Here is a 27,990-nt window from a genome sequence, read left to right as displayed (position 1 = left end):
TGGAGTGCAATGGTGCAATCTCGGCTCACTGCAACCTCCACATCCTGGGTTCAAGCTATTCTCCTGCTTCAGCCTGCCAAGTAGCTGGGACTACAGGCCGGCACCACCATGCCCAGCTAATTTTTGTATTTTTAGTGGAGACGGGGTTTCACCATGTTGGCCAGGGTGGTCTCGATCTCCTGACCTCGTGATCCGCCCGCTTCAGCCTCCCAAAGTGCTGGGATTACAGGAATGAGCCACCGCGCCCAGCCGGGAGATTCTTCAAGCAGTCATTATATCAACAGACACAGATGTTTCCCTTTCTTCATATGACGAAGCTCAGGGATCCAAACTTATTCGTAAAGCTAAAGAGACACCATTGGTACCCGTTGGAATAGCAGGTTTTGCAGCACTTGTTACATATGGATTATACAAATTGAAGAGCAGGGGAAATACGCAAATGTCCCTTCATCTGATCCACATGCGTGTGGCAGCCCAAGGCTTTGTTGTAGGAGCAATGACTATTGGTATGGGCTATTCCATGTATCGAGAATTCTGGGCAAAACCTAAGCCCTAGAAGAAGAGATGCTGTCTTGGTCTTGTTGGAGGAGCTTGCTTTAGTTAGACATCTCATTATTGAAGTTATGTGTTATTGTGGAAAATAAACTATTTGAGTGGGTTTAGATGGTAACACAGCATTTTGAATATTGGCTTCCTTTCTTGCAGGCTTGATTTGCCTGGTGACTTAATTACTAGTGACTAGTTTACTAACTAGGTCATTCAAGGAAATCAAGTTAGCATAAAAGAAACATGTCACCTAAATGCACTAGATGGTGTTGAAATGTCCACCTTCTTCAATTGTGAAGATGAACTTAAGTTCTAAAGGATATAACAAGCCAACCCTGAAGTACTCCCAGTTTGCTGCAGGATCTCACATGTTTCGGATGTTATATAAGAGTCCTATTTGCCCTAGTTAATTTAACTTTTTTTCTGCCTGTCTTGTGGACTGGCTGGCTCTTTCAGAACTCTGTCTAAAAAGTGCATGGAATAAAACTTGTAAAGCTTCCCACAACTGACAGTATCTATGTGTGTGTGTTTAAACCAAATCTAGAAAGCTTACATTATAGCTGCATAGTAGTGGTATTTATTAAAGAATCACAGTTGTGAACATGAGAATAACTTATGGATTCTAGTTTAGTTATTTTGTAATTGCAGAATTATATTTTTGCTGCTGTTATATCTGAATAATTTTTAAATGTCATCTTGAGATAGAAATATGTATTTAAGCACTCATGCAAAGGTAAATGAGCACCTTTTATTTTATTTTTTTTGAGACGGAGTCACGCTCTGTCACCAGGCTGGAGTGCAGTGGTGTGATCTCAGCTCACTGCAACCTCCATCTCCCGGGTTCAAGCACTTCTCCTGTCTCAGCCTCCTGAGTAGCTGGGACTACAGGTGCACACCACCATCCTTGGCTAATTTTTATATTTTTAATAAAGACAGGGTTTCGCCATGTTGTCCAGGATGGTCTCGATCTTGACCTCGTGATCCGCTGGGCCTCAGCCACTCAAAGTGCTGGGATTACGGGCATGAGCTACCGTGCCCAGCCCAATGAGCACTTTTTAAATGTGTGCATTGCTTATTTTTTCCATAAGAATTACAAACATTAAACTAATCAAATTACCTATAATGGAATTGATTAATGACTTATGAGCAAGCTGGTTTGGCCAGACAGTATACCCAAACTTTTATAAACTATAGAATGTTATTACATTTGTGAAATTTTCTTGTCTAACCTGAATTTACATTTCATGGTGATAACATGGTATATGTACTGTTGTTAAAGTAAGTGACCATCTCAAAAAAAAAAAAAAAAAAGAACGTCAACATCAATTCTGACAGGACAGGAATTTGGACAATGTAGCTTTTACTCATTCATTCTTCCACTAATGCATTCATTCAGCAGACAGTCAAATAACCTGCAATTAGCTTGTGGATCTCTCTACCATGAGACTGAAAGCTCCATGAGGTCAGGGAATGTATTTTGTTCTCCACAATGTCCTCAGAACCTGGCCTGGGGCCTGAACACAGTAGGCCCTCAGTAAATGTTTGTTAATTAAAGGAATGAGATCAGAGGCAAGGGAAGTCCAAAGGCAGTCTAGATAGACCAACAAACTGACCTCATGTGTGGTCAGTCCCACATTCAATGCACACTTCTTGGTGAGGGGGTCATTCAGGGAAAGTTGGAGGGTCTGGCCTTCCAGGCTGGGAGTACCTGGAGTGTTCCACCATGGAAGAGAGAGAATAGTTCCTCATTTTCTCTTTCATGGAGGGAGAATGTGAGAATCCAGATGTTGTTGTCAAAAATGTTGAAAAACTTTTAAGCCGAACGCAGCAGCTCATGACTGTAATCTCAACACTTTGCAAGGCCAAGGCAGGTGGATCGCGTGAGCCAAGGAGTTTGAGACCAGCCAGGGTAACATGGCAAAACCCCATATCTACAAAAAATACAAAAATTAGCCAGGCACAGTGGCGCATGCCTGTAGTCCCAGCTACTCTGCAGGGCTGAGGTGGGAAGATCACTTGAACCCAGGAGTTTGAGGCTGCAGCGAGCCCTGATCATGCCACTGCATTCCAGCAGCTTGGGTGATAGAGCAAGACACTGTCTCAAAAAAAAAAAAAAAAAAAAGCCTGGGCATGGTGGCTCACACCTGTAATCCCAGCACTTTGGGAGGCCGAGGCGGGTGGATCACGAGGTCAAGAGATGGAGACCATCCTGGCCAACATGGTGACCATCCTGGCCAACATGGTGAAACCCTGTCTCTACTAAAAATACAAAAAATTAGCTGTGTGTGGTGGCAGGCGCCTGTAGTCCCAGCTACTTGGGAGGCTGAGGCAGGAGAATCGCTTGAACCCAGGAGGTGGAGGTTACAGTGAGCCGAGGTCACGCCACTGTACTCCAGCCTGGGCGGCAGAGCAAGACTCCATCTCAAAAATAAAATAAAATTTTAAAATACTTATCAATTCATGTTTTCTGTTGTGTCTTAGGTCAGTTTTAGTGCATCTTTTATTTTCTAGGAAATTGTCTATTTCTCCTAAATTTTCAAATTTATTGCCATAAAATTGCACCTACTGCATGCTCATTATTTTTAAATTTCTGCTGTGTCTGTTTATTGCTGTTTTCATTCATTATATTGTCTGCTTGTGCAAACCTTATTTTCTTGACCAGTCTCTCTGGAGATTTGTCATTCTTATTAGTTTATTCAAAGAGCCAGCTTTCAACTTTGTGTATTCTATTTTAGCTTTATCTATTTTCTTTTTTCTTTTCTTTTTTTTTTTTTTAGACAGAGTCTCGCATTGTTGCCCAGGCTGGAGTACAATGGCGCGATCTCAGGTCACTGCAACCTCTGCCTCCCAGATTCAAGTGATTCTCCTGCCTCAGCCTTCCAAGTAGATGGGATTACAGGTGCCCCCCCACCACGCCCAGCTAATTTTTTGTATTTTTAGTAGAGACAGGGTTTCACCATGTTGGCCAGGCTCTTCTCAAACTCCTGATCTCATGATTCGCCTGCCTCAGGCTCCTAAAGTGCTGGGATTACAGGCGTGAGCCATTGCGCCTGTCCTCTATTTTCTTAATTTCTATTTTGTCTTTGTTACTTCCTTACCTATTTTATTGATGTAATTAACATACCACAATTCATTATTTTAAAGTGTACAATTCAGCCAGGTGTGGTGGCTCACATTTGAATCCCAGCATTTTGGGAGGTTGAGGCGGAAGGATCACTTGAGGTCAGGAGTTCAAAACCAGCCTGGGCAACAGAGTGAGACTCTGTCTCTACTAAAAATAAAAAAGTTAGCCAGGCATGATGGCATTTGCCTGTAATGTCAGCCACTTGGGAGGCTGAGGTGGCAGGATCACTTGACCCCAGGAGTTCCAGGCTGCAGTGAGCCATGATCGCGCCACTGCACTACAGCTTTCGCAACAGAGCGAGACTGTGTCTCAAAATAAATAAAGTGTACAATTCGGTCATTTTTAGTATACTCACAAAATTGTGCAAGCATAGCCACTATCTCCTCAGGAACATTTTTATCACTCCTCAAATAATAAACCCCATACCAATTAGCAGTCAGGCCCCATTCCTCACGCCACCAGCCCTTGGCAACCACTAACTACTTCTGTCTGTATGGACTTGTCTATTCTGGACATGTAACGTAAGTGCAGTGATATGAATGCTTTTTTCACTGAGCACAGGGTTTTCAAGGTTCATCAATGTTGTAGCATGAAGCAGTACTTCCTTCCTGTTTATGGCTAAATAATACTCCATTGTGTGGGTACATTACATTTTGTTTAGCCATTCATGGACATTTGGGTTGTTTGTACTTTTTGGCTATTATGAATAATGCTGCTACGAATGTTCTTGTACAAGTGTTTGTATGACCAGATGCTTTCAGTTCTCTTGAACATATACCTAGAAGTAGAATTTCTGGGTCATATGGTAATTTTATGTTTAATTTACTGAAGAACTGCCAAACTGTTTTCCAAAGCATTTACACTATTTTACATTCCCACCAGAAACACATAAGGGTGCCAATTTCTCCACATCTTGCCAACACTTGTTATTGTTGGTCTTTTTTTTATCACAATGATTTTAGTGGGTATGAAATCATCTCTCTATGGTTTTGATTTACATCTCCATAATGACCAGTGATGTTTAACATATTTTTTTGTGCTTATTAACCATTTTCTTTTCTTTTTCTTTCTTTTAGAGATAGGGTCTCTCTCTGTCACTCTGGCTGGAGTGCAGTGGCATGATCTTAGGATCATAGCTCACTGCAGCCTTGAACTCCTGGGCTTGAGCAATCCTCCCACCACAGCCTCTTGAGTAGCTGAGACTACAGCCACCACACCTGGATAATTTATTTTTTGTAGGAGGGGGGTCTCACTATGTTGCCAAGGCTGAGAGGATTGCTTGAGCTCAGGAGTTGGAGACCAGCCTGCGCAACATGGCAAGACTCTGACTCTACAAAAAATACAGTAAACAAACGAACAAATAAAAATTTAAAAGACAGACCTAACCATTCTCTCCCTAATGGATATGTGGTTCTATTGTCTTGTTTCACTATTTCAAACAATGCTGTGGCAATCATCCTTGGACTTAAAATCTTTGGGGTCATGTACAAGCTCTTCAACAAGATAGATTCCTGAAAGGGGAAAATCCAGGTCAAAATGTAAGTTTGCTTTCAACAACTTTTATGTCAACTTAACTGAGATATAATTGTATGTTAATACAATAAGATTTGCCAGTTTTAACATACAATAAGATTAGTCACTTACACAATTTGGTGTGCTTTAACAAACATGTATAAGTCAGGTAATTACCACCACTACCATGATATAGAGAATGTTTCCACTATCCAAAAAGTTTGCTTGTGCCATAGAGCAATCTGTCCTCTCCCCTAGCCTCTGTCCCTGGCAACTACTTGAGATGCTCTCTGTCACTAGTTCTATGAACATATATTTGCATTTATCTTGGGTAACTTAAGAACGGAATTGCTGGGTCATATGGTAAATGTATACTTAACTTTATAAGAAATTACCGAACCTTTTTTCAATATGGCTATACCGTTTTGTATTCCCACCTGCAATCTAAGATAATTCTAGGTGTTCCACATCATTACCACCACTTTGTATGACATCTTTTTAATTTAACTATTCTAGTACTAATAGTATGGCATTGCTTTCAATGAATTTATCTAATAATGATGGTGTTGAGCACATTTTATGGGATTATTCTCATCTGAATACCTTTGATTAAATGTCTGCTCAAAATGTTGGCCCATTTTGTATTAGCTTTTCATTTTTTTATTAGTAAGTTATAATATGTATTCTCAATATGAGTCCTTTGTCAGATATACGCTTGGCAAATATTTTCTCCCAATTTTTCTCCCTTTAACTGTCATTTGAACAGATAAAGTGTTTAGTTAGGATTAAATCCAATTTATCAATTTGTTTCTTTGATAGTTTATGCTATTTGTATCCTATTTAAGACATTTTTGCCTAACCCAACATTACTAAGATTTTTTTGTTTTCTTCTAGAGATATTACAGTTTTATGTTTTACATTTAGACCTACGGTTCATTTCAAGTTAAGTGTTGTATACGATGCAAGGTAGGGAATGAGGTTTTTTGTTTTCATATGGATATCCAATTATTTCAGCACTTTTGTTGAAAAATCATCTTTCGGCCGGGCATGGTGGCTCATGCCTGTAATCCCAGCAATTTGGGAGACTGAGGCAGGCGAATCACCTGAGGTCAGGAGTTCGAGATCAGCCTGACAAACATGGTGAAACCCCGTTTCTACTAAAAATACAAAAATTAGCCGGGTGTGGTGACACGCGCCTGTAATCCCAGCTACTTGGGAGGCTGAGGCAGGAGAAATGCTTGAACCCCAGGAGGTGGAGGTTTCAGTGAGCCAAAATCACACCACTGCACTCCAGCCTGGGTGACAGAGCAAGACTCTGTCTCAAAAAAAAAAAAAAAAAGAAAGAAAAATCATCTTTCACCATTGAATTGCCTTGTTACCTATATTGAAAATCAATATATTGCGGGGCGCGGTAGCTCACGCCTGTAATTCCAGCACTTTGGGAGGCCGAGGCAGGCAGATCATGAGGTCAGGAGATTGAGACCATCCTGGCTAATACGGTGAAACCCCGTCTCTACTAAAAATACAAAAAATTTGCCAGGCGTGGTGGTGGGCGCCTGTAGTCCCAGCTACTCGGGAGGCTGAGGCAGGAGAATGGCGAGAACTCGGGAGGCGGAGCTTGCAGTGAGCGGAGATGGTTCCACTGCACTCCAGCCTAGGCGACAGAGCGAGATTCCGTCTCAAAAAAAAAAAAGAAAATGAATATAAATGTTATTCTATTTCCGGACTGCATTCTGTTTCACTAACCTACATGTGTATCTTTACACCAAAAACCACACTGTCTTAATCACTGTAGCTTTATAGTAGTCTTTTTTATTTTTTTTTTTTGAGACAGAGTCTCATTTTATCACCCAGGCTAGAGTGCAATGGTGGGATCTTGGCTCACTGCAACCTCTGCCCCCAGGGTTCAAGTGATTCTTCTGCCTCACCCTCCCGCGTAGCTAGGATTAGAGGTGCGTAGCTGGCATTACAGGCGCGCACCAACACGCCCAGCGAATTTTTGTATTTTTAGTAGAGACAGGGTTTTACCATGTTGGCCAGGCTGGTCTCAAACTCTTGACCTCAGGTGATCCGCCCACATCAGCCTCCCAAAATGCTGGGATTATAGGCATGAGCCACTACGCCCAGCCTATAATAAGTCTTAAAATCAGGTAGTATAAGTTCTCCAACTTTGTTTATACTTTGCAAGGTTGTCTTGGATATTATAGGTCTTTTGAATTTTCACATATTTTAGAATCAGCATCAATTTTTTAAAAATGCCTACTGAGATTTTGATTGGAATGGCATTAACCCTATAAATCAATTTGGGGGAAATTGACATCATAGGAGTATGGAGTGCTCTGATCCATGGATATAGTATATCTCTCCATTTATTGGATCTTTACTTTCAGCAATGTTTTATACTTTTCAGTGTACAGGTCTTGCACATCTTTGATTATATTTTATTATTAAACATTTGCTTTTTTTTTTGAGATGGAGTTTCATTCTTTCACCCAGGCTGGAGTGCAGTGGCGCAATCTCAGCTCGCTGCAACCTCTGTCTTCTGGTTTCAAGTGATTCTCCTGCCTCAGCCTCCTGAGTAGCTGGGATTACAGGCGCATGCCACCACGCCCGGCTAGTTTTGTGTTTTGTTTTGTTTTGTTTTGTTTTGTTTTGTTTTTTGAGATGGAGTCTTGCTCTGTCACTGAGGCTGGAGTATAGTGGTGCGGTCTCGGCTCACTGCCAGCTCTGCCTCCTGGATTCACGCCATTCTCCTGCCTCAGCCTCCCAAGTAGCTGGGACTACAGGCGCCTGCCACCATGCCCGGCTAATTTTTTTGGTATTTTTAGTAGAGACGGGGTTTCACCGTGTTAGCAAGGATGGTCTCGATCTCTTGACCTCATGATCCGCCCGCCTCAGCCTCCCAAAGTGCTGGGATTATAGGCATGAGCCACCACGCCCGGCCACGCCTGGCTAGTTTTGTATTTTTAGTAGAGAAGGGGTTTCACCGTGTTGGCCAGGCTGGTCTCAAACTCCTGACCTCAAGTGATCTGCCCGCCTCAGCCTCCCAAAGTGCTGGGATTACAGGCGTGAGCCACCGTGACTGGCCAAACATTTGATTTTTTGAAGCTATGTAAATAGTATTTTGAAATTTTCAATTTCTGATTGCTTATTGTTAGTACTTAGAAGTACAACTGCTTTTTGTCGAGGCATGGTGGCTCATGCCTGTAATCCCAATACTTTGGGAGGCCAAGTCAGGAGGATCGCTTGAGCCCAGGAGTTCAAAAGCAGCCTGGGCCTGATAGCAAGACCTTGTAGCTACAAAAAAAATTCTTTTTAATTAGCCTGCCATGATGGCATGCACTCCACCCCAGCCTGAGGAAGTAGGCAATGCTTTTTGTGATATTTGAGGAGAAAGACGTTCCTGGGAGAAGGAAAGACATATGCAAAAGGTGATGGGCCTGCCTGGGGCATGGTAGGGATGGTACACCTGAGACCCCACAACTGGGCATTATGCCTGAAGGGCAGAGTGTGGGAGGGAAGGCAAGACGTGAGCTCAGGTGTCAGGAGATCTCTCTGGCCGTTCTATGGAAAACGGATGAGGAGGAAAGCACAGGAAAGGGGACTGTTGCATTTTCCCAGGCATGAGATGATGATGGTCTGGACTAGGACACTGGCAGTGAAAATGGCAAGGAAAGAATGAATTCTAGAGACACTCAGGAGGTAGAACCCACAGGATGTCCTCTCTTGCCTATTGCACCGCAAGAGCCTCCTAACTGGTTTCCCTGCTCCCACACTTGCCTTCCTCCCCACTACAGATTATTCCAACACAGGAGCTGGAGTGACTTTTTTTTTTTTTTTTTTAGTTTTTTTTGAGACTGAGTCTCGCTCTGTTGCCCAGGCTGGAGTGCAGTGGCACGATCTCAGCTCACTGCAAGCTCCGCCTCCCAGGTTCACGCCATTCTCCTGCATCAGCCTCCGGAGTAGCTGGGACTACAGACGCCCGCCACCAAGCTCGGCCAATTTTTGTGTTTTTTTATCAGAGACGGGGTTTCACCGTGTTAGCCACGATGGTCTCGATCTCCTCACCTCGTGATCCAACCGCCTTGGCATCCCAAAGTGCTGGGATTACAGGGTCAGCCACCACACCCAGCCTGGAGTGACTTTATTACACCTAAGTCAGAGCATGTCACACCTCTGCTCAGCACCCTCCAATGACTTCTCACGTCACTCAGAGGAAAAGCCAAGGTCCCTGTGATGGCCAATGCGATCTTGCCCTGGCCTCTTTCCTACGCACCCTTCACTAGTTCCACTATAGCCACACTCATCTCCTTCAACAAAGCAGCACTGCTCCACCTTTATTGAGCTGTAACTCTTTACCCAGACATCCACTTGGCTCATAACCTCACTTCCTTTAAGTCTTTGCTCAAATGTCACCTTCTCAAGGAAGCTTACCCGATTATCCTCGCTGATACTGCAACCAGCTTCAAGTACCCCACCACATCCTGATCCCCTTTATTCTGTTCTACTTTTTTCCTATAGCACTGATCATCTTCCAGCGTATTAGATTTTTCACTTATGTCTGTGGTTTGCTGTCACATCTACTAGGATAAGCTCCACAAAGGTAGAGATCTTTATTTTGTTCACTGACATCCTAAGTCCCTAGAACAGGAGACACTTGATCCATATTTGTAGACTAACTGAATAAATGACTTAATTACCAGTTTGGATGTGGGGGCAGATAGTGAGCATGATGCCCGTTTCCGGAGCTGGGGTGCAGACAGTGTCTAGGGACACTGAACTGTTTTAAAAGCAGGATAGATCCCGGCTGGAGACCACACAAGGAAATCATCAGCACCTGGGTCAGGGGCTGGACTGGAGCAGAGGAAATCATGCAGGAAAAGTAAAGAGAAGGACATCAGGTAAAGAGAAGAGGACACATGCATAGCCAGAGAGAAAAGAGGAGCAGAGGCATGTGGATCACAGAAGCTTAGGGAGGAGACTTTCAAGAAGGGGAGAGAGGTTGAGTCAAGCAAGGGCTGAAAGCCAACCATTGGATGCAGTCACTAGAAAGTTACAGATAGGCAAGGTGTTGTGGCTCACGCCTGTAATCCCAACACCTTGTGGGGCTGAGGTGGGAGGATCGCTTGAGCCCGGGAGGTCGAGGCTGCAATGAGCCCTGATGGCGCCAATGCACTCCAGCCTGGGCGACAGAGCAAGACCCTGTCGCAAAAATTAATAAATAAATAAATAAAAAGAAAAGGGGGAAAAAAAGTTATACGTGGCCTTACGGGGAAGCCAACTCTGACTGGTTATAAGCTGAAACTGTCAAGTCAACAGGTGGCAGGGAAGATGGCTGAGACCAACAGCACAGAGATTTAGAGGCAGACAGACCTGGCGCCAATCCTAGGACAGGTTTTGGTAAGCCTTTGAATTTCAATTGCCCCACGTTTCGGGGGAGGGGGTAGCACCCCCTAGCTCATAAACCTTAGTGATTGATGATTAAATGAGATGACGGAGGAAAACGCAAGGCACAAAGTGGATGCATTAGCTCCATTTTGTTAATCAGCAGGCTTAGTTGGCTGCGACCCAGACACGAACTAAAATACAGTGCAGCCCAGGACCAGTGGGGGTCTTGCTTATGGCTCAGAGCTGAACAACACATGGGCAGCAAAATCAGACACTGAGATGCGGGCAGGCCTGCGACGCTGAAGTCAATTCCTTTGAACAAACAGAACACTTCCGTCCCAAGATTAGCAGGAATTAATCTCCCAGTCTCGGGTACACCTGGTTGTCCCTCCCTGTCCTGGCGCGGCAAACGTTCCCGGAGGCCAGCCAGGGATCACTCGCCCAAGGACTGAGCTTTCCCTACTCTCAGCCAACTGGAGCGGGACCAGGGCCTAGGCAACGCAGCTGTCCGCCCCTAACAACCACTCACCTGCTTTCCCCTTTCTATAGGCCAGCAAAGGTACATTCTTTTTCTTATTGGGCCGCGTAACTTATCGCAACCAATCAGTGGCAGCCACGGGACCCAACTCACTCCCACACAACTTGTGGGGGTGATCATGGAGAAGACAAATTTTTGTTTTCCGCATCCAGTTCTCTCAGAGAGCACCGTATTTGTCAAACTGTTGTGACTCTCCCTAAATGTTTAAGAAAACATTTCATTCCCCTCAGGCTTGTATAGTCTGTCCCTGGCCTACTCCCCGCTCCAGGTGGTACAGCCCGCAAGCGGCTCCCCTTCCCAGCTGCTCGCGGGGCCGAGTCCCCCAGTCCGAGGAGGCCACTCAGCGCAGGAGCCATACCATCTGTGACTAATAAATAATAGGGGGACCTCCGACTCCCCCCTGTTGCCTTATTACCTTCCGACCACCTCTCGGACCTCTTGCCCAGCCCTTCCCCGTAGACATCACCCCAGATACGGTGGTGACACCATTGCTATGGGCCCACGTAGGGCGCAGTGCGAGCCAGGGCAGGACGCACTTGGTACGACCCACGCCGCGCCCCGCGCCGCCGGAAGTGAGGTGTCTGACCCCCGAAGTTCCGGTTCGCAGGGGGTGGGGAGTGTTGTTAACCGGAGGGGCAGCCGCAGTCGCGCGGATTGAGCGGGCTCGCGGCGCTGGGTTCCTGGTGAGTGGGGCGAAGTCTGGCCCGAGTTGTGGTTGGGGTCGGGACCCGAACCTTCCCCTTGAGGTCTCCGGAGTCGGCACGCCCCTCAGCCCCGCCGCACGCTTTCGGCCTGTCAGCTGGCCGGAGACCTCAGACGCCGGTGCGGCCGCTTTGCTCAAGCCTGGGCCCTGCCTGCGACGCCCGCAACTCCTGGTGCTCACAGGTGCGCGGCCGCGAGGGCGACCCGGCTCCTCCCGTCCCGCTGCTGCTCTCTCCCGTCCCGCTGTTTTTGTGGTGCTCTGAGTTGACACTACTCCGGGGGTCGGGGGACCCCAGGATTCCAGGCTGACGTTCCCCGCCCGCTCCCGCAGGGCGGGCGTCCGAACTGCCCACCCTAACACAGCTGTCACCGGCGCTGTCGCCTGCCCAGCCTGCTATCCTCTGTGCCTTGGCTGCTCTCAGCCCTGGCTGCGCATTCCCGCCCCTGGAGCAGATTTCTGCTGTTGCCTCCCACCCCATCTTCTCCACCGGAGGGTCAGCGGTGCAGCTCCCCCTCCTCCAACATTGCAGCTTTTCCTCATCACCTCCCTAGAGGAGGCGGCTTGGCAGGCAGCGTGGAAAGAGCCCTAGATTTGAAGCAAGACTGACCCAGGTTCCAGGCCTTGCGTCAGTGTGATCACTTAACCCCTTCGAGTCTAATTTGTAAAATGGGGTAGCGTAAGCTATTCTTTGTCTGATGATTTCGAGGGCGAAATGTGATTTCCCCCCCACTTTCTCCTATGAATTGAGGCTGTGCCAGGCACCGGGCTATTTTGCACAGCACGAGCATCACATAAGTTATTTTCTTGCCCCATGCAGGTCTCCGGGCCAGGGCAATGTTCCGCACGGCAGTGATGATGGCGGCCAGCCTGGCGCTGACCGGGGCTGTGGTGGCTCACGCCTACTACCTCAAACACCAGTTCTACCCCACTGTGGTGTACCTGACCAAGTCCAGCCCCAGCATGGCAGTGAGTTCAGGGCTCAGGGAGGGAGGAACTCCCTGGGAGGGAAGGAGGAGTCTGCCTGGGCAAGGGGCGGGGCTAGAGGTCAGGTAAGTAGGGAAGTAGCCGCCAGCTGCCTAACTTTGAATAAACTGTGATGAGGATGTGGAGGATCCTGCATGATGAGTCCCAAGGAGAGGAAAGCAGAAAGTGACCTCAAACCACAGCCTCTCCCCACTCCTAGGTCCTGTACATCCAGGCCTTTGTCCTTGTCTTCCTTCTGGGCAAGGTGATGGGCAAGGTGTTCTTTGGGCAACTGAGGGCAGCAGAGATGGAGGTAAGATGTCGGCTGCCCCAAAGGTGAGGGCAGGGTGCTGGGAAAGAATGTTTGGTATCCACATTATTCCCTGCCTGGCCCCCAGCACCTTCTGGAACGTTCCTGGTACGCCGTCACAGAGACTTGTCTGGCCTTCACCGTTTTTCGGGATGACTTCAGCCCCCGCTTTGTTGCACTCTTCACTCTTCTTCTCTTCCTCAAATGTTTCCACTGGCTGGCTGAGGACCGTGTGGACTTTGTGAGTCAAGGCAGGGAGTTCTGGAGCAGGTGGAAGCCAGGGAGTAGCCAGCGGGCAGGCTTAAGGAGCAGGGAGGGCTAGGTTGAGGGTGTGGGGTGAGCCCCAGGCCTCCTGACAGGCCTCTTCTGTGCTCTGCCTCAGATGGAACGCAGCCCCAACATCTCCTGGCTCTTTCACTGCCGCATTGTCTGTGAGTGAGATTCAGGGGAGGGGAAGGGAGGACTGGAACGTGAACCGTGGACCTGTACTCCAGAGCACAGGCTACCCCCCACAGCTGTACAGGAAAGATAATTTAGGAAGTTAATTTGCATAGTCTCTGTGCTGTTCCACTCTAGGGCTTCTCAACTGCCTGGGCCCTCAGCCCTTTGCCTTCTCACCTGCAGCCTGGGCAGCCCCAACAACTCCCCCTCCCCCAGGAAGTTCCCAGAGGGCCAGGTTCAGTGGAGTGTGCCCACCTGACTAGATCGCTGGGGCCATGGTGGGCTTGAGGGTGGGGCTGTCCTAGAGCATTAAACAGCTGTTGGGCCCTGGGCTGACCCCCCCACCCTGCATGTGTGGGGGTCCCCACAGCTCTTATGTTCCTCCTGGGCATCCTGGACTTCCTCTTCGTCAGCCACGCCTATCACAGCATCCTGACCCGTGGGGCCTCTGTGCAGCTGGTGTTTGGCTTTGAGGTAAAACTGGCTTGGGAGGTTGAGAGGACAAGCCCGAGGTGACCCCACATGTGCCTTGAATAACCCAACAGACCCTTCCTCAGCACCTGCTATGTGGCCAACCTGTGCTGGCCACCAAGGGGCAGTGATCAGATATGGCTCCTGCCCTCCACACGCTCACTCCTAGGTGACTGGGGAGACGCACAAAGAGGCTAGGACAGAGGAGGAGCCCCAACCTGGGGCTCAGGAGAGGGTTCCTGGAGGCTCGTGCCGGAGCTAGCTGGTAATGGACAGGAGAGGATTAGTTCCATGGACAACTGGAGGCGTGTCCCTGGCAGAGAGAGAATGTGTTCAGTGACAACAGCTCATATTTGTTGAGTGCGAATTTCACACCAGGCCCTATGCTGAGCTCCTGACCTGCATCTCTTATTCAGCAAGACAATACTGTTATAAAGGAACAGTTAATTATGTCATTTTATAGATAAGTAAACTGAGGTTCACTGAGTTGCCAAAAGTCACAGCTAGTAAGTGGAGGGGCTAGGAGGACCCTGGGTGTGTCTAGAGCCTGTGATTGTACCACTGCACCTGCTGTGCAGAGGCCTTGGGGAGCAATGTGGGTGCAGCAAGGGGGAGCTATGTGTTTACATCCCCCTCGTCCCCCTCTCCCTTCAGTATGCCATCCTGATGACGATGGTGCTCACCATCTTCATCAAGTATGTGCTGCACTCCGTGGACCTCCAGAGTGAGAACCCCTGGGACAACAAGGCTGTGTACATGCTCTACACAGAGCTGTTTACAGGTGAGAGGGGCCTGGGCCTCTCCTGATCTGGACCAGCATCCTCCACTCTGCCTCCTGGCCCTGTGACCTGCTGCTTTCTGCATCCCCTCCCCTCAGGCTTCATCAAGGTTCTGCTGTACATGGCCTTCATGACCATCATGATCAAGGTGCACACCTTCCCACTCTTTGCCATCCGGCCCATGTACCTGGCCATGAGGTGAGCCCGGCCCTGTCCCCCGATCCTCCTGACCTGATCCCGTCCCTTCTCCTGCTTTCACTGACTGTCCTTTCAGACAGTTCAAGAAAGCTGTGACAGATGCCATCATGTCTCGCCGAGCCATCCGCAACATGAACACCCTGTAAGTAGGCTTGTCATGGCTGCTGTCCCAAGCTCGGTCCTGGGTCCCTCTGCTTCCAGCTCTGGACCTGATACAGCCCCTGTCATCCTAACCAGGTATCCAGATGCCACCCCAGAGGAGCTCCAGGCAATGGACAATGTCTGCATCATCTGCCGAGAAGAGATGGTGACTGGTGCCAAGAGACTGCCCTGCAACCACATTTTCCATACCAGGTGGGAGGGGCCCTGGGGAGCCTGCACAGCAGGGCACAGGCCCCAGAAGGCAGGCCCCTAGGGACCTGCTGACCTCTGCCTGGCCTTGACCCGCAGCTGCCTGCGCTCCTGGTTCCAGCGGCAGCAGACCTGCCCCACCTGCCGTATGGATGTCCTTCGTGCATCGCTGCCAGCGCAGTCACCACCACCCCCGGAGCCTGCGGATCAGGGGCCACCCCCTGCCCCCCACCCCCCACCACTCTTGCCTCAGCCCCCCAACTGTGAGTATCCCCTTGTCTGGCCACCCGGCATACCACTGGATACTTGCCCTGGGCTGGATGTGGAAGATGCTGGGAAATTGGAGAGTCCCTGCCCTCCAGAATCTCAGTCTGGGCCAGGGAGGGATTAAAAGATGAGAAATAGATGCTTGCAGTCAGTGTGACCAGTGCTGGGCTGAGGGCCTGTGGGAATAGGACAGAGCTCTCAATAGCCAGGCCCCCTGCCTGGGAGTTGGGTCTGTGTCCATTTGGCCCTTTCCTTACCTCCGTCTTCTCTCTGCAGTCCCCCAGGGCCTCCTGCCTCCTTTTCCTCCAGGCATGTTCCCACTGTGGCCCCCCATGGGCCCCTTTCCACCTGTCCCGCCTCCCCCCAGCTCAGGAGAGGCTGTGGCTCCTCCATCCACCAGTGCAGGTGAGCCTTTGGGTACTGTGACAGCCAGGGGGCGGCAGGGATGGAACACTCACTGACTTCGTTCCTGCTCTTCAGCAGCCCTTTCTCGGCCCAGTGGAGCAGCTACAACCACAGCTGCTGGCACCAGTGCTACTGCTGCTTCTGCCACAGCATCTGGCCCAGGCTCTGGCTCTGCCCCAGAGGCTGGCCCTGCCCCTGGTTTCCCCTTCCCTCCTCCCTGGATGGGTATGCCCCTGCCTCCACCCTTTGGTAAGCTGGGCCACTCTCTGGGTTCTTCTTGGGGGTGAGGTTGGTGTCTGGCCCCAGCAGCCCAGACTGAGCCTCTCTCTCTCCAGCCTTCCCCCCAATGCCTGTGCCCCCTGCGGGCTTTGCTGGGCTGACCCCAGAGGAGCTACGAGCTCTGGAGGGCCATGAGCGGCAGCACCTGGAGGCCCGGCTGCAGAGCCTGCGTAACATCCACACACTGCTGGACGCCGCCATGCTGCAGATCAACCAGTACCTCACCGTGCTGGCCTCCTTGGGGTGTGTCTGTACAGGGGAAGCAGAGTGGGTTTGGTGGGTCAGGAGTGGAGCTGCCAAGAGGTCCCCAGCAGTGGTTCTTGGCCTTTGACACCTGCCAATTCAGGCTGCCTATCTACAGGCCCACCAAGGGTCTCCAGGAGTTCTTGGTAACTCCTGGTGCCTTTATTTCCCACTCCAGAAAGCATGTCTGGATCTAAGTAGGAGTGATGTTTATTCGAGAGCTGACTTTAGATCTTATTCCTTTATATTTTTCTAAAGTCAAATTATTCAGAATTTGCAGTGCTTTAGTTCATCACATGATATTCTTCTGAGATGTGGTGACACTTAGATTGGCAATTGCTGCCCCCAAACTGAGGGAGCGAATAATAGGAAGTCACTTGGAGCCATCCTGGCTCAAGTTCAAGCGCTGGTCCCATCACTCATTTTTGACCTCTCATTATTTGAATAAAGGGGTCTTAATTCATATTCATAAGTGATGTGTACTGCCAGATACACACCTATAATCAGCACTTTGGAAGGCTGAGGCAGGAGGATTGTTTGAGCCTAGGAATTTGAGGGTGCAGTGAGCTATGATTGTGCCACTAAATTCCAGCTTTGGTGACAGAGCCGAGACGCTGTCTTTTAAAAAAGTGACATGTACATAATGCCTGGCATCTAGCAGTGACAGCACAGGCTTGGAGAGGAACTTGAGTCCAAGGCTCGAGCACTGTGGCTTATTGAGTGAGTCCCCTATAAGGTGCCTGACTCCCCAGGGTGGAGACTGCAGGGTAAGAGTGAACAGGTCAACAGTCCCTGCCTGCAAGCACCTTACAGCTAAGGGATAGAATCATTTGGCCCTTGAGTCCAGTCACCCTGTCTGAGTTCATTCAGCATGTTCACTTGTGTTTGCCAGGCACTGGGGCCACAAGGGCACATCATTCTATACTCTGTTCTGCAAGGCTCACCAAGGGCAGGAGAATCTGCCCAACCTTGGATGCCAAGGCCAGGCCCGCCTCTCGTCCCTTCTCTTCCCAGGCCCCCCCGGCCTGCCACTTCAGTCAACTCCACTGAGGAGACTGCCACTACAGTTGTTGCTGCTGCCTCCTCCACCAGCATCCCTAGCTCAGAGGCCACGACCCCAACCCCAGGAGCCTCCCCACCAGCCCCTGAAATGGAAAGGCCTCCAGGTAGGTGTGATTGGCCTCCAGCCGGGGGAGCAGGGAACTTCTCTAGGTTCCACTTCCAGTCTCTCTGTCCCCAGCTCCTGAGTCAGTGGGCACAGAGGAGATGCCTGAGGATGGAGAGCCCGATGCAGCAGAGCTCCGCCGGCGCCGCCTGCAGAAGCTGGAGTCTCCTGTTGCCCACTGACACTGCCCCAGCCCAGCCCCAGCCTCTGCTCTTTTGAGCAGCCCTCGCTGGAACATGTCCTGCCACCAAGTGCCAGCTCCCTCTCTGTCTGCACCAGGGAGTAGTACCCCCAGCTCTGAGAAAGAGGCGGCATCCCCTAGGCCAAGTGGAAAGAGGCTGGGGTTCCCATTTGACTCCAGTCCCAGGCAGCCATGGGGATCTCGGGTCAGTTCCAGCCTTCCTCTCCAACTCTTCAGCCCTGTGTTCTGCTGGGGCCATGAAGGCAGAAGGTTTAGCCTCTGAGAAGCCCTCTTCTTCCCCCACCCCTTTCCAGGAGAAGGGGCTGCCCCTCCAAGCCCTACTTGTATGTGCGGAGTCACACTGCAGTGCCGAACAGTATTAGCTCCCGTTCCCAAGTGTGGACTCCAGAGGGGCTGGAGGCAAGCTATGAACTTGCTCGCTGGCCCACCCCTAAGACTGGTACCCATTTCCTTTTCTTACCCTGATCTCCCCAGAAGCCTCTTGTGGTGGTGGCTGTGCCCCCTATGCCCTGTGGCATTTCTGCGTCTTACTGGCAACCACACAACTCAGGGAAAGGAATGCCTGGGAGTGGGGGTGCAGGCGGGCAGCACTGAGGGACCCTGCCCCGCCCCTCCCCCCAGGCCCCTTTCCTCTGCAGCTTCTCAAGTGAGACTGACCTGTCTCACCCAGCAGCCACTGCCCAGCCGCACTCCAGGCAAGGGCCAGTGCGCCTGCTCCTGACCACTGCAATCCCAGCGCCCAAGGAAGGCCACTTCTCAACTGGCAGAACTTCTGAAGTTTAGAATTGGAATTACTTCCTTACTAGTGTCTTTTGGCTTAAATTTTGTCTTTTGAAGTTGAATGCTTAATCCCGGGAAAGAGGAACAGGAGTGCCAGACTCCTGGTCTTTCCAGTTTAGAAAAGGCTCTGTGCCAAGGAGGGACCACAGGAGCTGGGACCTGCCTGCCCCTGTCTTTTCCCCTTGGTTTTGTGTTACAAGAGTTGTTGGAGACAGTTTCAGATGATTATTTAATTTGTAAATATTGTACAAATTTTAATAGCTTAAATTGTATATACAGCCAAATAAAAACTTGCATTAACAATTGGTGGGGTTTGTGTCACAGAATCGATCAAATCAGTGTCGGGCTCCTTGCTGTGGCTGTACACTTGAAAATGGAATGGAATCTCCAGGAGTGAGGGTTTCCATGGAAGCCAGCACTATCCTTGGGGACACCACTGACCATTAACAGATTAGGAAGATGTGCCCATTTTACACACAGAGAAGCAGCCCAGAGTTCAGTGCCCTGCTTCAGGGCAGAGACCAAGTTGGGGAGTCAGGAACTGAAAGCTGTCTTAGCCAGTTTGGGGGCAGGGTGGGGTCTCAGGCCTTTGGCCCCTGTGACTCCAAGTATAAGGCATATATGAAGGCTAGTGAGCTGGGGTTGGGATGGGATGGCAGGGTGAAAGGTCAGCATATTCCTGCCTGCAAACCCCTCCCCAGCCTTGATTGCAGGTCAGAAGGCTGCAGGGGGATGTCCCTATGCTGGCTGTGAGTTCCCAGCCACTCCCTTGTGGTCAGGCCAGCAAGTCTGGTCTGCAATGGAACAGTGACCAAGAACGTGCCTCCTACCTCTCTATCAGAGCCCGGGGCTAACGTGGGCACTCTGTGCCCCAGTGCCAGCACTGTACTTTGAACAGAAGATCTCCAAGACCCATGCCCGAGTCATCTGTGTTCTCCATCACCTGCACCAAACAAGATCTGGCCTAGAGCAAAGGCTTGGGGGTATTTGCAACAGTGAGCTTCGGAGGGCCAAGGAAACAAAGTGCCCAGTGGCTCTGCCCTGTGCTACCTTCCCCTAAACTGGGGTTGGGCTACTGCTTCCACCAAATAACAACTAGAATTTGAATTGCTGAGCCCAAGGAAAGAAAAACAAAACAGGCCAAGGTGGACCAGGCACATGGCTCATGCCTATAATCCCAACGCTTTGGGAGGCCAAGGTGGGCGGATCACTTCGAGTCAGGAGTTTGAGACCAGCCTGGCCAACATGGTGAAACCCCATCTCTACTAAAAATACAAAAATTAGCAGGCTGTGGTGGTGGGCGCCTGTAATCCCAGCTACTCAAGAGGCTGAGGCAGGAGAATCCCTTGATCCCAGAGGTGGAAGTTGCAGTGAGCCAAGATCATGCCACTGCACTCCACCCTGGGCAACAGAGTGAGACTCCGTCTCAAAAAACAAAAAAGAACAGGCCAAGATAGGAGGGAGAGAAAGCTGCTGACGCCCCCCATTAGCCTGGTGATCCCTATTTGGTCTCCCACATTAGGCACTCTCCCCCAGCATGTACATAGAGTTGTTTTCTCCTTTATGCAAGCAAGGCCTGACCCCAAAGTCCTTTAGCCCTAGTTTCTGTATCCCCTGTCTCAGGGGCTCCAACACCCACCTCCCTCCTCCTGAGGCCCCCTAGACTTGATCCACAGGGCATGCTGACAAGCAGGCTGCTCGGCTGGGCCTCAGAAGCCTTTCTCCAAGAGCCAGGCTTTAAGCTCCTGGTCAAAGTAGCCCTTGATCCGTAGGGTACCTGTCACCTCATTGACCTGGGTGACAGGTGTCTTCCCCAGCAGCGGGCTCAGAAAATCTTCCACGTCTTTCTGCAGGGCCTGGGGAAAGATGACAAATCAGGTCAGGCCAAGAGTCCCTTCCCTTAAAAAGACTCCTGTCCCTTCAGCCCTGAAAGGGTCAGGCCCAGTCCCAGACCCACCCACCCACTTACCCAGATGTCCCCTTCCACTTTCCGGATCACAGTCATCTGCCGGTTGCCATGCGTGATGTCCTTGTAGACGGGGATGTTGTGCATCCGAGAGCGTCGTACAAAGTAAGGCAGGTTGGGTGGGGGGTCTGCAACAGGGAAAGACACTGTTAAATCAACTCTTCCTACGTGCCATCCCACCTCAGCCAAGGCCCTTGCTCTCAGTCTGCAGAGGGCCAGTGCACCCAGCTGGACCAAGCCACCTCCAGACTTTAGGTCAGGGGGTCTCCTCTTTCCTTCAGCTTGGAGTCAGGACCAAATTGTTCACCCTGGTACCCTAAGGCCCCACACAGGGCCTGGCACTAAGTAGGTGCTCAAGAAAAAATGAAATCAGGGACATGCCTCCCTGGATCTTTGGGTCCCCCTCTAGGCCAACCCTTGCCCTCCTCCACTGGGTCAGGGAGGCCGAAATCAATCTCTGGAACAAAGAGATTGGGATTTGCAAGCACTGAGCACCTACCATATGCTGGGCTCTGCACTAAGGGCTCTATGTACTGAGCAGATTATCTCCATTTTGCTAAAACAGGTTGGGTCAAGCTAAGTGACTAATTCAAGATAACATCAACAGTAAATAAAGCCAAATTCAAACCCAGAACTGCCTGACTCCAAGCTGTGTTCTTAATTACAGTACATAGTCTGCTGGGGGGAAAGAAGGTCCAAGCTCTTGGGTTTTCTCTCTGTTGTTTACTTTCCCCCATATGGGGAAGACCTGATCTCAATAGTGTGGATGGATGAGTACCAGTGAACAACAGAAGGCTCCACTCCTCGGCTCTTCCTTGGGCATGAGACAGATGTAACCCAGAGGGATTGCAAAATGAGTCCTGAACCCACTGGAGAGTCCAGAGCCTCATGGGGGAGGCCAACCTCTGGGGAGGAGGTGATGCTCCGTGAAGCTTTCAAATCATCCCTAACCACCCAGCTCACCTCTGGGAGGCTGCCAGCCACTAGGGGTAGGATAATGTTCATGCTTTGGGGGATCTGGGATCCTGGTAGCCGGTAACAGGCGCTCCACAAACTGATATTCATCCACAGACTCCACAAACCTGGGGTAATCTGGAGGGCCCTGGGTCTGGCTCTGAAGCAAAACAAAAATCCCATTTCTCCATTAGCCTACCCAACACAGGATGGCATAACTTCAGTAAGTAGAGAATGGAAACATTACAGGCAGAGAGAATGACATAAATAAAAGGCTGGGCGACGGTGTGAAAGCTATCAGAATCAAAATGGAGTGAGTCACTTGGGTTAAAAATCCCAACAAATAGAGCTAGGGAGGGCCACGAAGAGAGAGTTCTTGGGCACAAATACTTAATAACAAGAACTACCACAAAAGACTGCAAAAACCACAGCCTTGCACAAAGGCCACTTCAACCTTACACAAAAAAATATTTCTGGCTGGGCAAGGTGGCTCACGCCTGTAATCCCAGCACCTTGGAGGCTGAGGCAGGAGGATCATCTAAGGTCAGGAGTTCAACACCAGCCTGGCCAACATGGCGAAACCCCATCTCTACTGAAAATACAAAAATTAGCCGGGCATGGTGGTGCATGCCTGTAATCCCAGCTACTTGGGAGGCTGAGGCAGGAGAATTGCTTGAACCCAGGAGGTGGAGGTTGCAGTGAGCTAAGATCGCACCATTGCACTCCAGCCTCGGTGACAGAGCGACGAGACTCTCTCAAACAAAACAAAACAAAACAAATTCCTGCATGGCCATCTGTCCAACAACTGCCTGTCCAATCTTGAACTGGCACCACCCATGTTATTCATCCTTGTAGCCAAGGATAACTGTCTCAAAACAATTATGTAATACTCATTTTTCCTTTCCTTTATTTATTTTTATTATTTTTTTAGATAGAGTCTCACTCTGTCACCTAGGCTGGAGTGCAGTGGTGTGATCTCGGCTCACTGCAACCTCCGCCTCCCAAGTTCAAGCAAGTCTCCTACCTCAGCCTCCCAAGTAGCTGGGACTACAGGCACACGCCATCACACCCGGCTAATTTTTGTATTTTTTCTAGAGACGGGTTTCACCATGTTGGCCAGGCTTGTCTCAAACTCCTGACTCCAGGTGATCTACGCGCCTTGGCCTCCCAAAGTGCTGGGATTACAGGCGTGAGCCACCGTGCCTGGCCCATTTTTCTGTTAAAAACCTTTGTCTTCTTTTACCTCCCTGATAAGCACATAGTCTATACCCATTCCCGAATAAATATCCTTTTCTTTTAGAGTCTGTTATTTAGGTTGACATAAGATAGCACCAGTCTTTGGTTTTCCATGGTGCAGGGTACAGATGGGATGGAAAGGAGGCTCAGGTACTCTGAATGGTCTGCCTCTCAGGATTTCTGTGGGATGCAAAAGAGTATATGTACACTTCTGAAAAGTCAATCAAGCCTTTAGAAACTTAAGGCTTAACTTTCTGTCTCGGTTTTAGAAATAGATATTATTATATTGGCAGCGTGGCCTTGTTTGTACCTCCATGATTGCCTGGCTGGCCTTGCTAACCTAATCACATCTGTGACGGGATATAGTGATGTTTAATCTTATGATTGCCTTAAGAATTAAGGCAATCAGACGGGTTCGGCGGCTCATGCCTGTAATCCCAGCACTTTGGGAGGCCGAGGCGGGCGGATCACGAGGTCAGAAGATCCAGTCCATCCTGGCTAACAAGGTGAAACCCCGTCTCTACTAAAAATACAAAAAATTAGCCGGGCATGGTGGCGGGAGCCTGTAGTCCCAGCTACTCGGGAGGCTGAGGCAGGAGGATGGCGTGAATCTGGGAGGCGGAGCTTGCAGTGGGCCGAGATCGCGCCACTGCCCTCCAGCCTGGGCGACAGAGCGAGACTCCGTCTCAAAAAAAAAAAAAAAAAGAATTAAGGCAATCATAATTCCCCACGCACACTCATATGCTAGGACCCCGCCCCTTACCTGAAACGTTGTGGCTTATATAGACACTGCCAGGCACTGTGTTAAGTGCTCCCAAAGAGCACCCCAGTCTACCATTTTCCCTCTCGATTCTATATGTACACTCGGGACAAGTTCTCCTGATCGAAAACGGCAAAACTAAGGCCCCAAGTAGGAATGCCTTAGTTTTCGGGGTTAACAATGATTAACACTGAGCCTCACACCCACGCGATGCCCTCAGCTCCTCGCTCAGCGCTCTCACCAACAGCCGTAGCCCGCAGCCCCGCTGGACACCGGTTCTCCATCCCCGCAGCGTAGCCCGGAACATGGTAGCTGCCATCTTTACCTGCTACGCCAGCCTTCTGTGCGCGCAACTGTCTGGTCCCGCCCCGTCCTGCGCGAGCTGCCTGCCCAGGCAGGTTCGCCGGTGCGAGCGTAAAGGGGCGGAGCTAGGACTGCCTTGGGCGGTACAAATAGCAGGGAACCGCGCGGTCGCTCAGCAGTGACGTGACACGCAGCCCACGGTCTGTACTGACGCGCCCTCGCTTCTTCCTCTTTCTCGACTCCATCTTCGCGGTAGCTGGGACCGCCGTTCAGGTAAGAATGGGGCCTTGGCTGGATCCGAAGGGCTTGTAGCAGGTTGGCTGCGGGGTCAGAAGGCGCGGGGGGAACCGAAGAACGGGGCCTGCTCCGTGGCCCTGCTCCAGTCCCTATCCGAACTCCTTGGGAGGCCTGGCCTTCCCCACGTGAGCCGCCGCGACCACCATCCCGTCGCGATCGTTTCTGGACCGCTTTCCACTCCCAAATCTCCTTTATCCCAGAGCATTTCTTGGCTTCTCTTACAAGCCGTCTTTTCTTTACTCAGTCGCCAATATGCAGCTCTTTGTCCGCGCCCAGGAGCTACACACCTTCGAGGTGACCGGCCAGGAAACGGTCGCCCAGATCAAGGTAAGGCTGCTTGGTGCGCCCTGGGTTCCATTTTCTTGTGCTCTTCACTCTCGCGGCCCGAGGGAACGCTTACGAGCCTTATCTTTCCCTGTAGGCTCATGTAGCCTCACTGGAGGGCATTGCCCCGGAAGATCAAGTCGTGCTCCTGGCAGGCGCGCCCCTGGAGGATGAGGCCACTCTGGGCCAGTGCGGGGTGGAGGCCCTGACTACCCTGGAAGTAGCAGGCCGCATGCTTGGAGGTGAGTGAGAGAGGAATGTTCTTTGAAGTACCGGTAAGCGTCTAGTGAGTGTGGGGTGCATAGTCCTGACAGCTGAGTGTCACACCTATGGTAATAGAGTACTTCTCACTGTCTTCAGTTCAGAGTGATTCTTCCTGTTTACATCCCTCATGTTGAACACAGACGTCCATGGGAGACTGAGCCAGAGTGTAGTTGTATTTCAGTCACATCACGAGATCCTAGTCTGGTTATCAGCTTCCACACTAAAATTAGGTCAGACCAGGGCCCCCAAAGTGCTCTATAAAATTAGAAGCTGGAAGATCCTGAAATGAAACTTAAGATTTCAAGGTCAAATATCTGCAACTTTGTTCTCATTACCTATTGGGCGCAGCTTCTCTTTAAAGGCTTGAATTGAGAAAAGAGGGGTTCTGCTGGGTGGCACCTTCTTGCTCTTACCTGCTGGTGCCTTCCTTTCCCACTACAGGTAAAGTCCATGGTTCCCTGGCCCGTGCTGGAAAAGTGAGAGGTCAGACTCCTAAGGTGAGTGAGAGTATTAGTGGTCATGGTGTTAGGACTTTTTTTCCTTTCACAGCTAAACCAAGTCCCTGGGCTCTTACTCGGTTTGCCTTCTCCCTCCCTGGAGATGAGCCTGAGGGAAGGGATGCTAGGTGTGGAAGACAGGAACCAGGGCCTGATTAACCTTCCCTTCTCCAGGTGGCCAAACAGGAGAAGAAGAAGAAGAAGACAGGTCGGGCTAAGCGGCGGATGCAGTACAACCGGCGCTTTGTCAACGTTGTGCCCACCTTTGGCAAGAAGAAGGGCCCCAATGCCAACTCTTAAGTCTTTTGTAATTCTGGCTTTCTCTAATAAAAAAGCCACTTAGTTCAGTCATCGCATTGTTTCATCTTTACTTGCAAGGCCTCAGGGAGAGGTGTGCTTCTCGGGTTGGTGGTATGTCCCCTAGGAGAACAGTGAGGCAGAAAAGGCAGAAGCCTTTGGTATGGGGGGAAGAAATGGTAAACTACAAGAGAAATTTCCTGTGAAGAAACAGCTACAGATCCTGGGGGGCTTCAGATGTAAAATTGGGGTTATTCCCTATCCTAAGTAACTTGATCAGTCCCCCCAGGTCATTCTTTTTCATCTTCTAAACAGAGAAGGTAGCAGGAATCACTGTGGTGAGAGGTTTGTTATGGAGGCAGCAATAGAAGGGATGGGTGGGGGAAGAGGTTTGTATAGAAGGTGAACCTGGCCGTTCCCTGAACTTGGTACCAGCTGTGGCCTTAGAGTCCAGGGCAGGAATCTGGTCTGCCTTGGTTTTAGAAGTAAATATTATGTTGGGAGCATGGCCTCGTTTGTACCTCTGTGACTGCCTGGCCGGACTTGGTAACCTAATCACATCTGTGATTGGATATAGTGAGGTTTCAGTGTTCCCAAAAGTTGGGTTACCTCTGGGGCTGATTCAGGGTTCTCTTCTGGCAACTGAGCCTCCCAGCACTTCTGAACCCCACTTACTCATTCAGCTAAAGTTTCTGGACCTGCCAGTTCTTGAGAAATAGCATCCAACAGGGTAAAGCCCTTGGGCTGTGGACTTTGACTGCCTGAGTTTGGACCTTCTTTTTCTTCCTACTCCATTTACTGGGTGGCTGGCCTTTGAACTAACTACTAATTTAATCTCTGCCATCTCCAGGGCTGCTGTGAGGGTTAAAGGATGTAAATCAACATCTGGCTTACAGTGAGTGTGTGAATCTTGGCTATTTTTGTCTCTGTGGTGTTAAAGACATGGTTTCTGCCTTCCAGCAGTTTAGAAAGGGGGAGGATGTGGACAGATACAATAGCATCCCAGAGAGGGCCTCTTTTTTTGTTTTTCTTTTTTCTTTATTTTATTTTATTGAGACAGAGTCTCGCACTGTCGCCAGGCTGGAGTGCAGTGGCACAATCCGAGCTCACTGCAACCTCAGCCTCCCGGGTTCACGCCATTCTCCTGCCTCAGCCCCCTGAGTAGCTGGGACTACAGGCATGTGCCACCACGCCCAGCTAATTTTTGTATTTTTAGTAGACATGGGGTTTCCCCATGTTGGCCAGGATGGTCTCGATCTCTTGACCTCGTGATCGCCCACCTCGGCCTCCCAAAGTACTGGGATTACAGCCATGAGCCACAGTGCCCGGCCTTTTCTTTTTTGTTTTTGAGACAAGGTCTCTCTCATCCAGGCTGGAGTGCAGTTGCACAATCATGGCTCACTGCAGCCGCCAACTCCTGGGCCCAGGTGATCCTACTCAGCCTCCAAAGTAGCTGAGGACTACAGGCATGCACCGCCACACCTGGCTAATTTTTTGTACTTTTTTGTAGAGACAGGGTTTTGCTATGTTGCCCAGGCTGGTCTTGAACTGGGCTCAAGTGATCCGCCCACCTTGGCCTCCCAAAGTGCTGAGATTACAGGTGTCAGCCGCTGTGCCCAGCCGAGAGGTCCTGTTTAAATGACGTGAGTGAGACCTGAGATGAACCAGTCAAGTGATCAGGTAGGGGAATATTTCAAGCCTAGAGGACTGTGTGAAGATGGGGAAGAGGTGATGTCTAGGGCTGGGGGCGGGCAGATCCTGCAAGGCCTTGTCAGCCATAGAGAGGAGTTTGGGTTTGAGTCCAAGTGCAATGGAGGGTCGCAGAAGGGTTTTGAGTAACAGATGGATCTCATCTGACTTGTGATCTAATTTCTCTGGCAGGTTTTTCTGGAGGGCTGGCAAGAAAGTTAGGAAAAACACTTAATGTGTTGTCATCCACATGAGGGGTCAGGAAGCTTAGACCACCAGTAGTAGCAGGGATGCAAAGAACACTCACAGTTTGGTTCATCACACCCCCCACTCCACCACAAGAGTGAGCTCTATTAGAACAGGGACCCCCGGCTCCCTTTGATGTGCATTGTGTTCTTGGCACCTAGAATGGGGCCTGCACTTAATAAGATGGATGAATAGTGGTATTTAATGAGAAGATACTTAATGAAAAGAAGAGGCAGTTTTGGAGGAAAAAAATCATAGGAGCTCAGATATTTCTTAAATGCTGCTTTCTATTTATCTTTTTGAGGTGGAGTTTCTCTCTGTGGCCCAGGCTCGCAGGCTGGAGAGCGGTGGCGCGATCTCGGCTAACTGCAGCCTCCACCTCCCGGGTTCAAGCGATTCCCCTGCCTCAGCCTCAGGAGTAGCTGGGACTACAAGCACCCGTCCCCCACGCCCGGCTAATTTTGTATTCTTAGTAGAGACGGGGTTTCTCCA

General features: G+C 50.0%; 3 protein-coding genes, 1 non-coding gene and 1 pseudogene across 11 annotated transcripts, besides 9 other annotated features; 4 read left to right on the top strand and 1 right to left on the bottom strand.

Annotated features, from left to right (window-relative positions):
* HIGD1AP10 (HIG1 hypoxia inducible domain family member 1A pseudogene 10) lies at positions 252-1,297 on the top strand (annotated as a pseudogene).
* Positions 11,049-11,232: a silencer, noted in NCBI's record as "fragment chr11:64902486-64902669 (GRCh37/hg19 assembly coordinates)". NCBI's record gives its function as "represses an EF-1alpha promoter that drives an FKBP-Casp9 reporter gene in an ReSE screen in K562 erythroleukemia cells {active_cell/tissue: K562}" and the evidence as "EXISTENCE:reporter gene assay evidence [ECO:0000049][PMID:32094911]".
* Positions 11,049-11,989: a biological region, named in NCBI's record as "NANOG-H3K27ac-H3K4me1 hESC enhancer GRCh37_chr11:64901729-64902632".
* Positions 11,086-11,989: an enhancer, noted in NCBI's record as "NANOG-H3K27ac-H3K4me1 hESC enhancer chr11:64901729-64902632 (GRCh37/hg19 assembly coordinates)". NCBI's record gives its function as "activates a minimal SCP1, AML or CMV promoter by ChIP-STARR-seq in naive H9 embryonic stem cells {active_cell/tissue: H9 hESC(naive)}" and the evidence as "EXISTENCE:reporter gene assay evidence [ECO:0000049][PMID:30033119]".
* Positions 11,218-11,727: an enhancer, noted in NCBI's record as "active region_4947". NCBI's record gives its function as "activates an Ori minimal core promoter by ATAC-STARR-seq in GM12878 lymphoblastoid cells {active_cell/tissue: GM12878}" and the evidence as "EXISTENCE:reporter gene assay evidence [ECO:0000049][PMID:35858748]".
* On the top strand, positions 11,728-18,968 carry SYVN1 (synoviolin 1). Of its 6 annotated transcripts, none has more exons than NM_032431.3 (16): positions 11,728-11,791; positions 12,629-12,777; positions 12,995-13,087; positions 13,173-13,325; positions 13,467-13,515; positions 13,896-13,999; positions 14,651-14,777; positions 14,874-14,973; positions 15,050-15,115; positions 15,211-15,327; positions 15,424-15,587; positions 15,868-15,996; positions 16,075-16,245; positions 16,332-16,518; positions 17,533-17,684; positions 17,759-18,968. In NM_032431.3, the coding sequence occupies exons 2-16, from the start codon at positions 12,646-12,648 to the stop codon at positions 17,863-17,865; spliced, it is 1,851 nt and encodes a 616-aa protein (NP_115807.1). In that variant the 5' UTR covers positions 11,728-11,791; positions 12,629-12,645; the 3' UTR covers positions 17,866-18,968. The 6 variants fall into 6 exon arrangements, with proteins under 6 accessions (NP_115807.1, NP_757385.1, XP_047283669.1 ...); NM_172230.3 differs by having other exon boundaries at positions 16,072-16,245; XM_047427713.1 differs by having other exon boundaries at positions 11,728-11,993.
* Positions 12,278-12,347: an enhancer, noted in NCBI's record as "active region_4946". NCBI's record gives its function as "activates an Ori minimal core promoter by ATAC-STARR-seq in GM12878 lymphoblastoid cells {active_cell/tissue: GM12878}" and the evidence as "EXISTENCE:reporter gene assay evidence [ECO:0000049][PMID:35858748]".
* Positions 12,949-13,125: a silencer, noted in NCBI's record as "fragment chr11:64900593-64900769 (GRCh37/hg19 assembly coordinates)". NCBI's record gives its function as "represses an EF-1alpha promoter that drives an FKBP-Casp9 reporter gene in an ReSE screen in K562 erythroleukemia cells {active_cell/tissue: K562}" and the evidence as "EXISTENCE:reporter gene assay evidence [ECO:0000049][PMID:32094911]".
* Positions 13,848-13,897: an enhancer, noted in NCBI's record as "active region_4945". NCBI's record gives its function as "activates an Ori minimal core promoter by ATAC-STARR-seq in GM12878 lymphoblastoid cells {active_cell/tissue: GM12878}" and the evidence as "EXISTENCE:reporter gene assay evidence [ECO:0000049][PMID:35858748]".
* Positions 16,269-16,331, top strand: MIR6751 (microRNA 6751). Its single transcript, NR_106809.1, has one exon. It is a non-coding gene; the product is annotated as a microRNA 6751 (primary transcript).
* Positions 18,876-24,064, bottom strand: MRPL49 (mitochondrial ribosomal protein L49). 3 transcript variants are annotated; one of them, NM_004927.4, is made up of 4 exons: positions 23,823-23,926; positions 21,595-21,745; positions 20,635-20,759; positions 18,876-20,521 (listed from the first exon to the last, which is right to left on the bottom strand). In NM_004927.4, the coding sequence occupies exons 1-4, from the start codon at positions 23,898-23,900 to the stop codon at positions 20,375-20,377; spliced, it is 501 nt and encodes a 166-aa protein (NP_004918.1). In that variant the 5' UTR covers positions 23,901-23,926; the 3' UTR covers positions 18,876-20,374. The 3 variants fall into 3 exon arrangements, 1 of the variants encoding a protein (NP_004918.1); NR_037567.1 differs by having other exon boundaries at positions 18,878-20,521; positions 23,907-24,064; NR_037568.2 differs by lacking the exon at positions 21,595-21,745.
* Positions 23,636-23,905: an enhancer, noted in NCBI's record as "active region_4944". NCBI's record gives its function as "activates an Ori minimal core promoter by ATAC-STARR-seq in GM12878 lymphoblastoid cells {active_cell/tissue: GM12878}" and the evidence as "EXISTENCE:reporter gene assay evidence [ECO:0000049][PMID:35858748]".
* Positions 24,066-24,155: an enhancer, noted in NCBI's record as "active region_4943". NCBI's record gives its function as "activates an Ori minimal core promoter by ATAC-STARR-seq in GM12878 lymphoblastoid cells {active_cell/tissue: GM12878}" and the evidence as "EXISTENCE:reporter gene assay evidence [ECO:0000049][PMID:35858748]".
* Positions 24,113-25,617, top strand: FAU (FAU ubiquitin like and ribosomal protein S30 fusion). Its single transcript, NM_001997.5, has 5 exons — positions 24,113-24,157; positions 24,426-24,508; positions 24,603-24,747; positions 25,211-25,266; positions 25,441-25,617. The coding sequence occupies exons 2-5, from the start codon at positions 24,434-24,436 to the stop codon at positions 25,564-25,566; spliced, it is 402 nt and encodes a 133-aa protein (NP_001988.1). The 5' UTR covers positions 24,113-24,157; positions 24,426-24,433; the 3' UTR covers positions 25,567-25,617.
* Positions 25,618-27,990: the final 2,373 nt, after the last annotated feature.

Source organism: Homo sapiens, chromosome 11 (assembly GCF_000001405.40).
Source record: "Homo sapiens chromosome 11, GRCh38.p14 Primary Assembly".
Classification (NCBI taxonomy): domain Eukaryota; kingdom Metazoa; phylum Chordata; class Mammalia; order Primates; family Hominidae; genus Homo; species Homo sapiens.
This window is presented reverse-complemented; position numbering and strand designations above follow the sequence as displayed.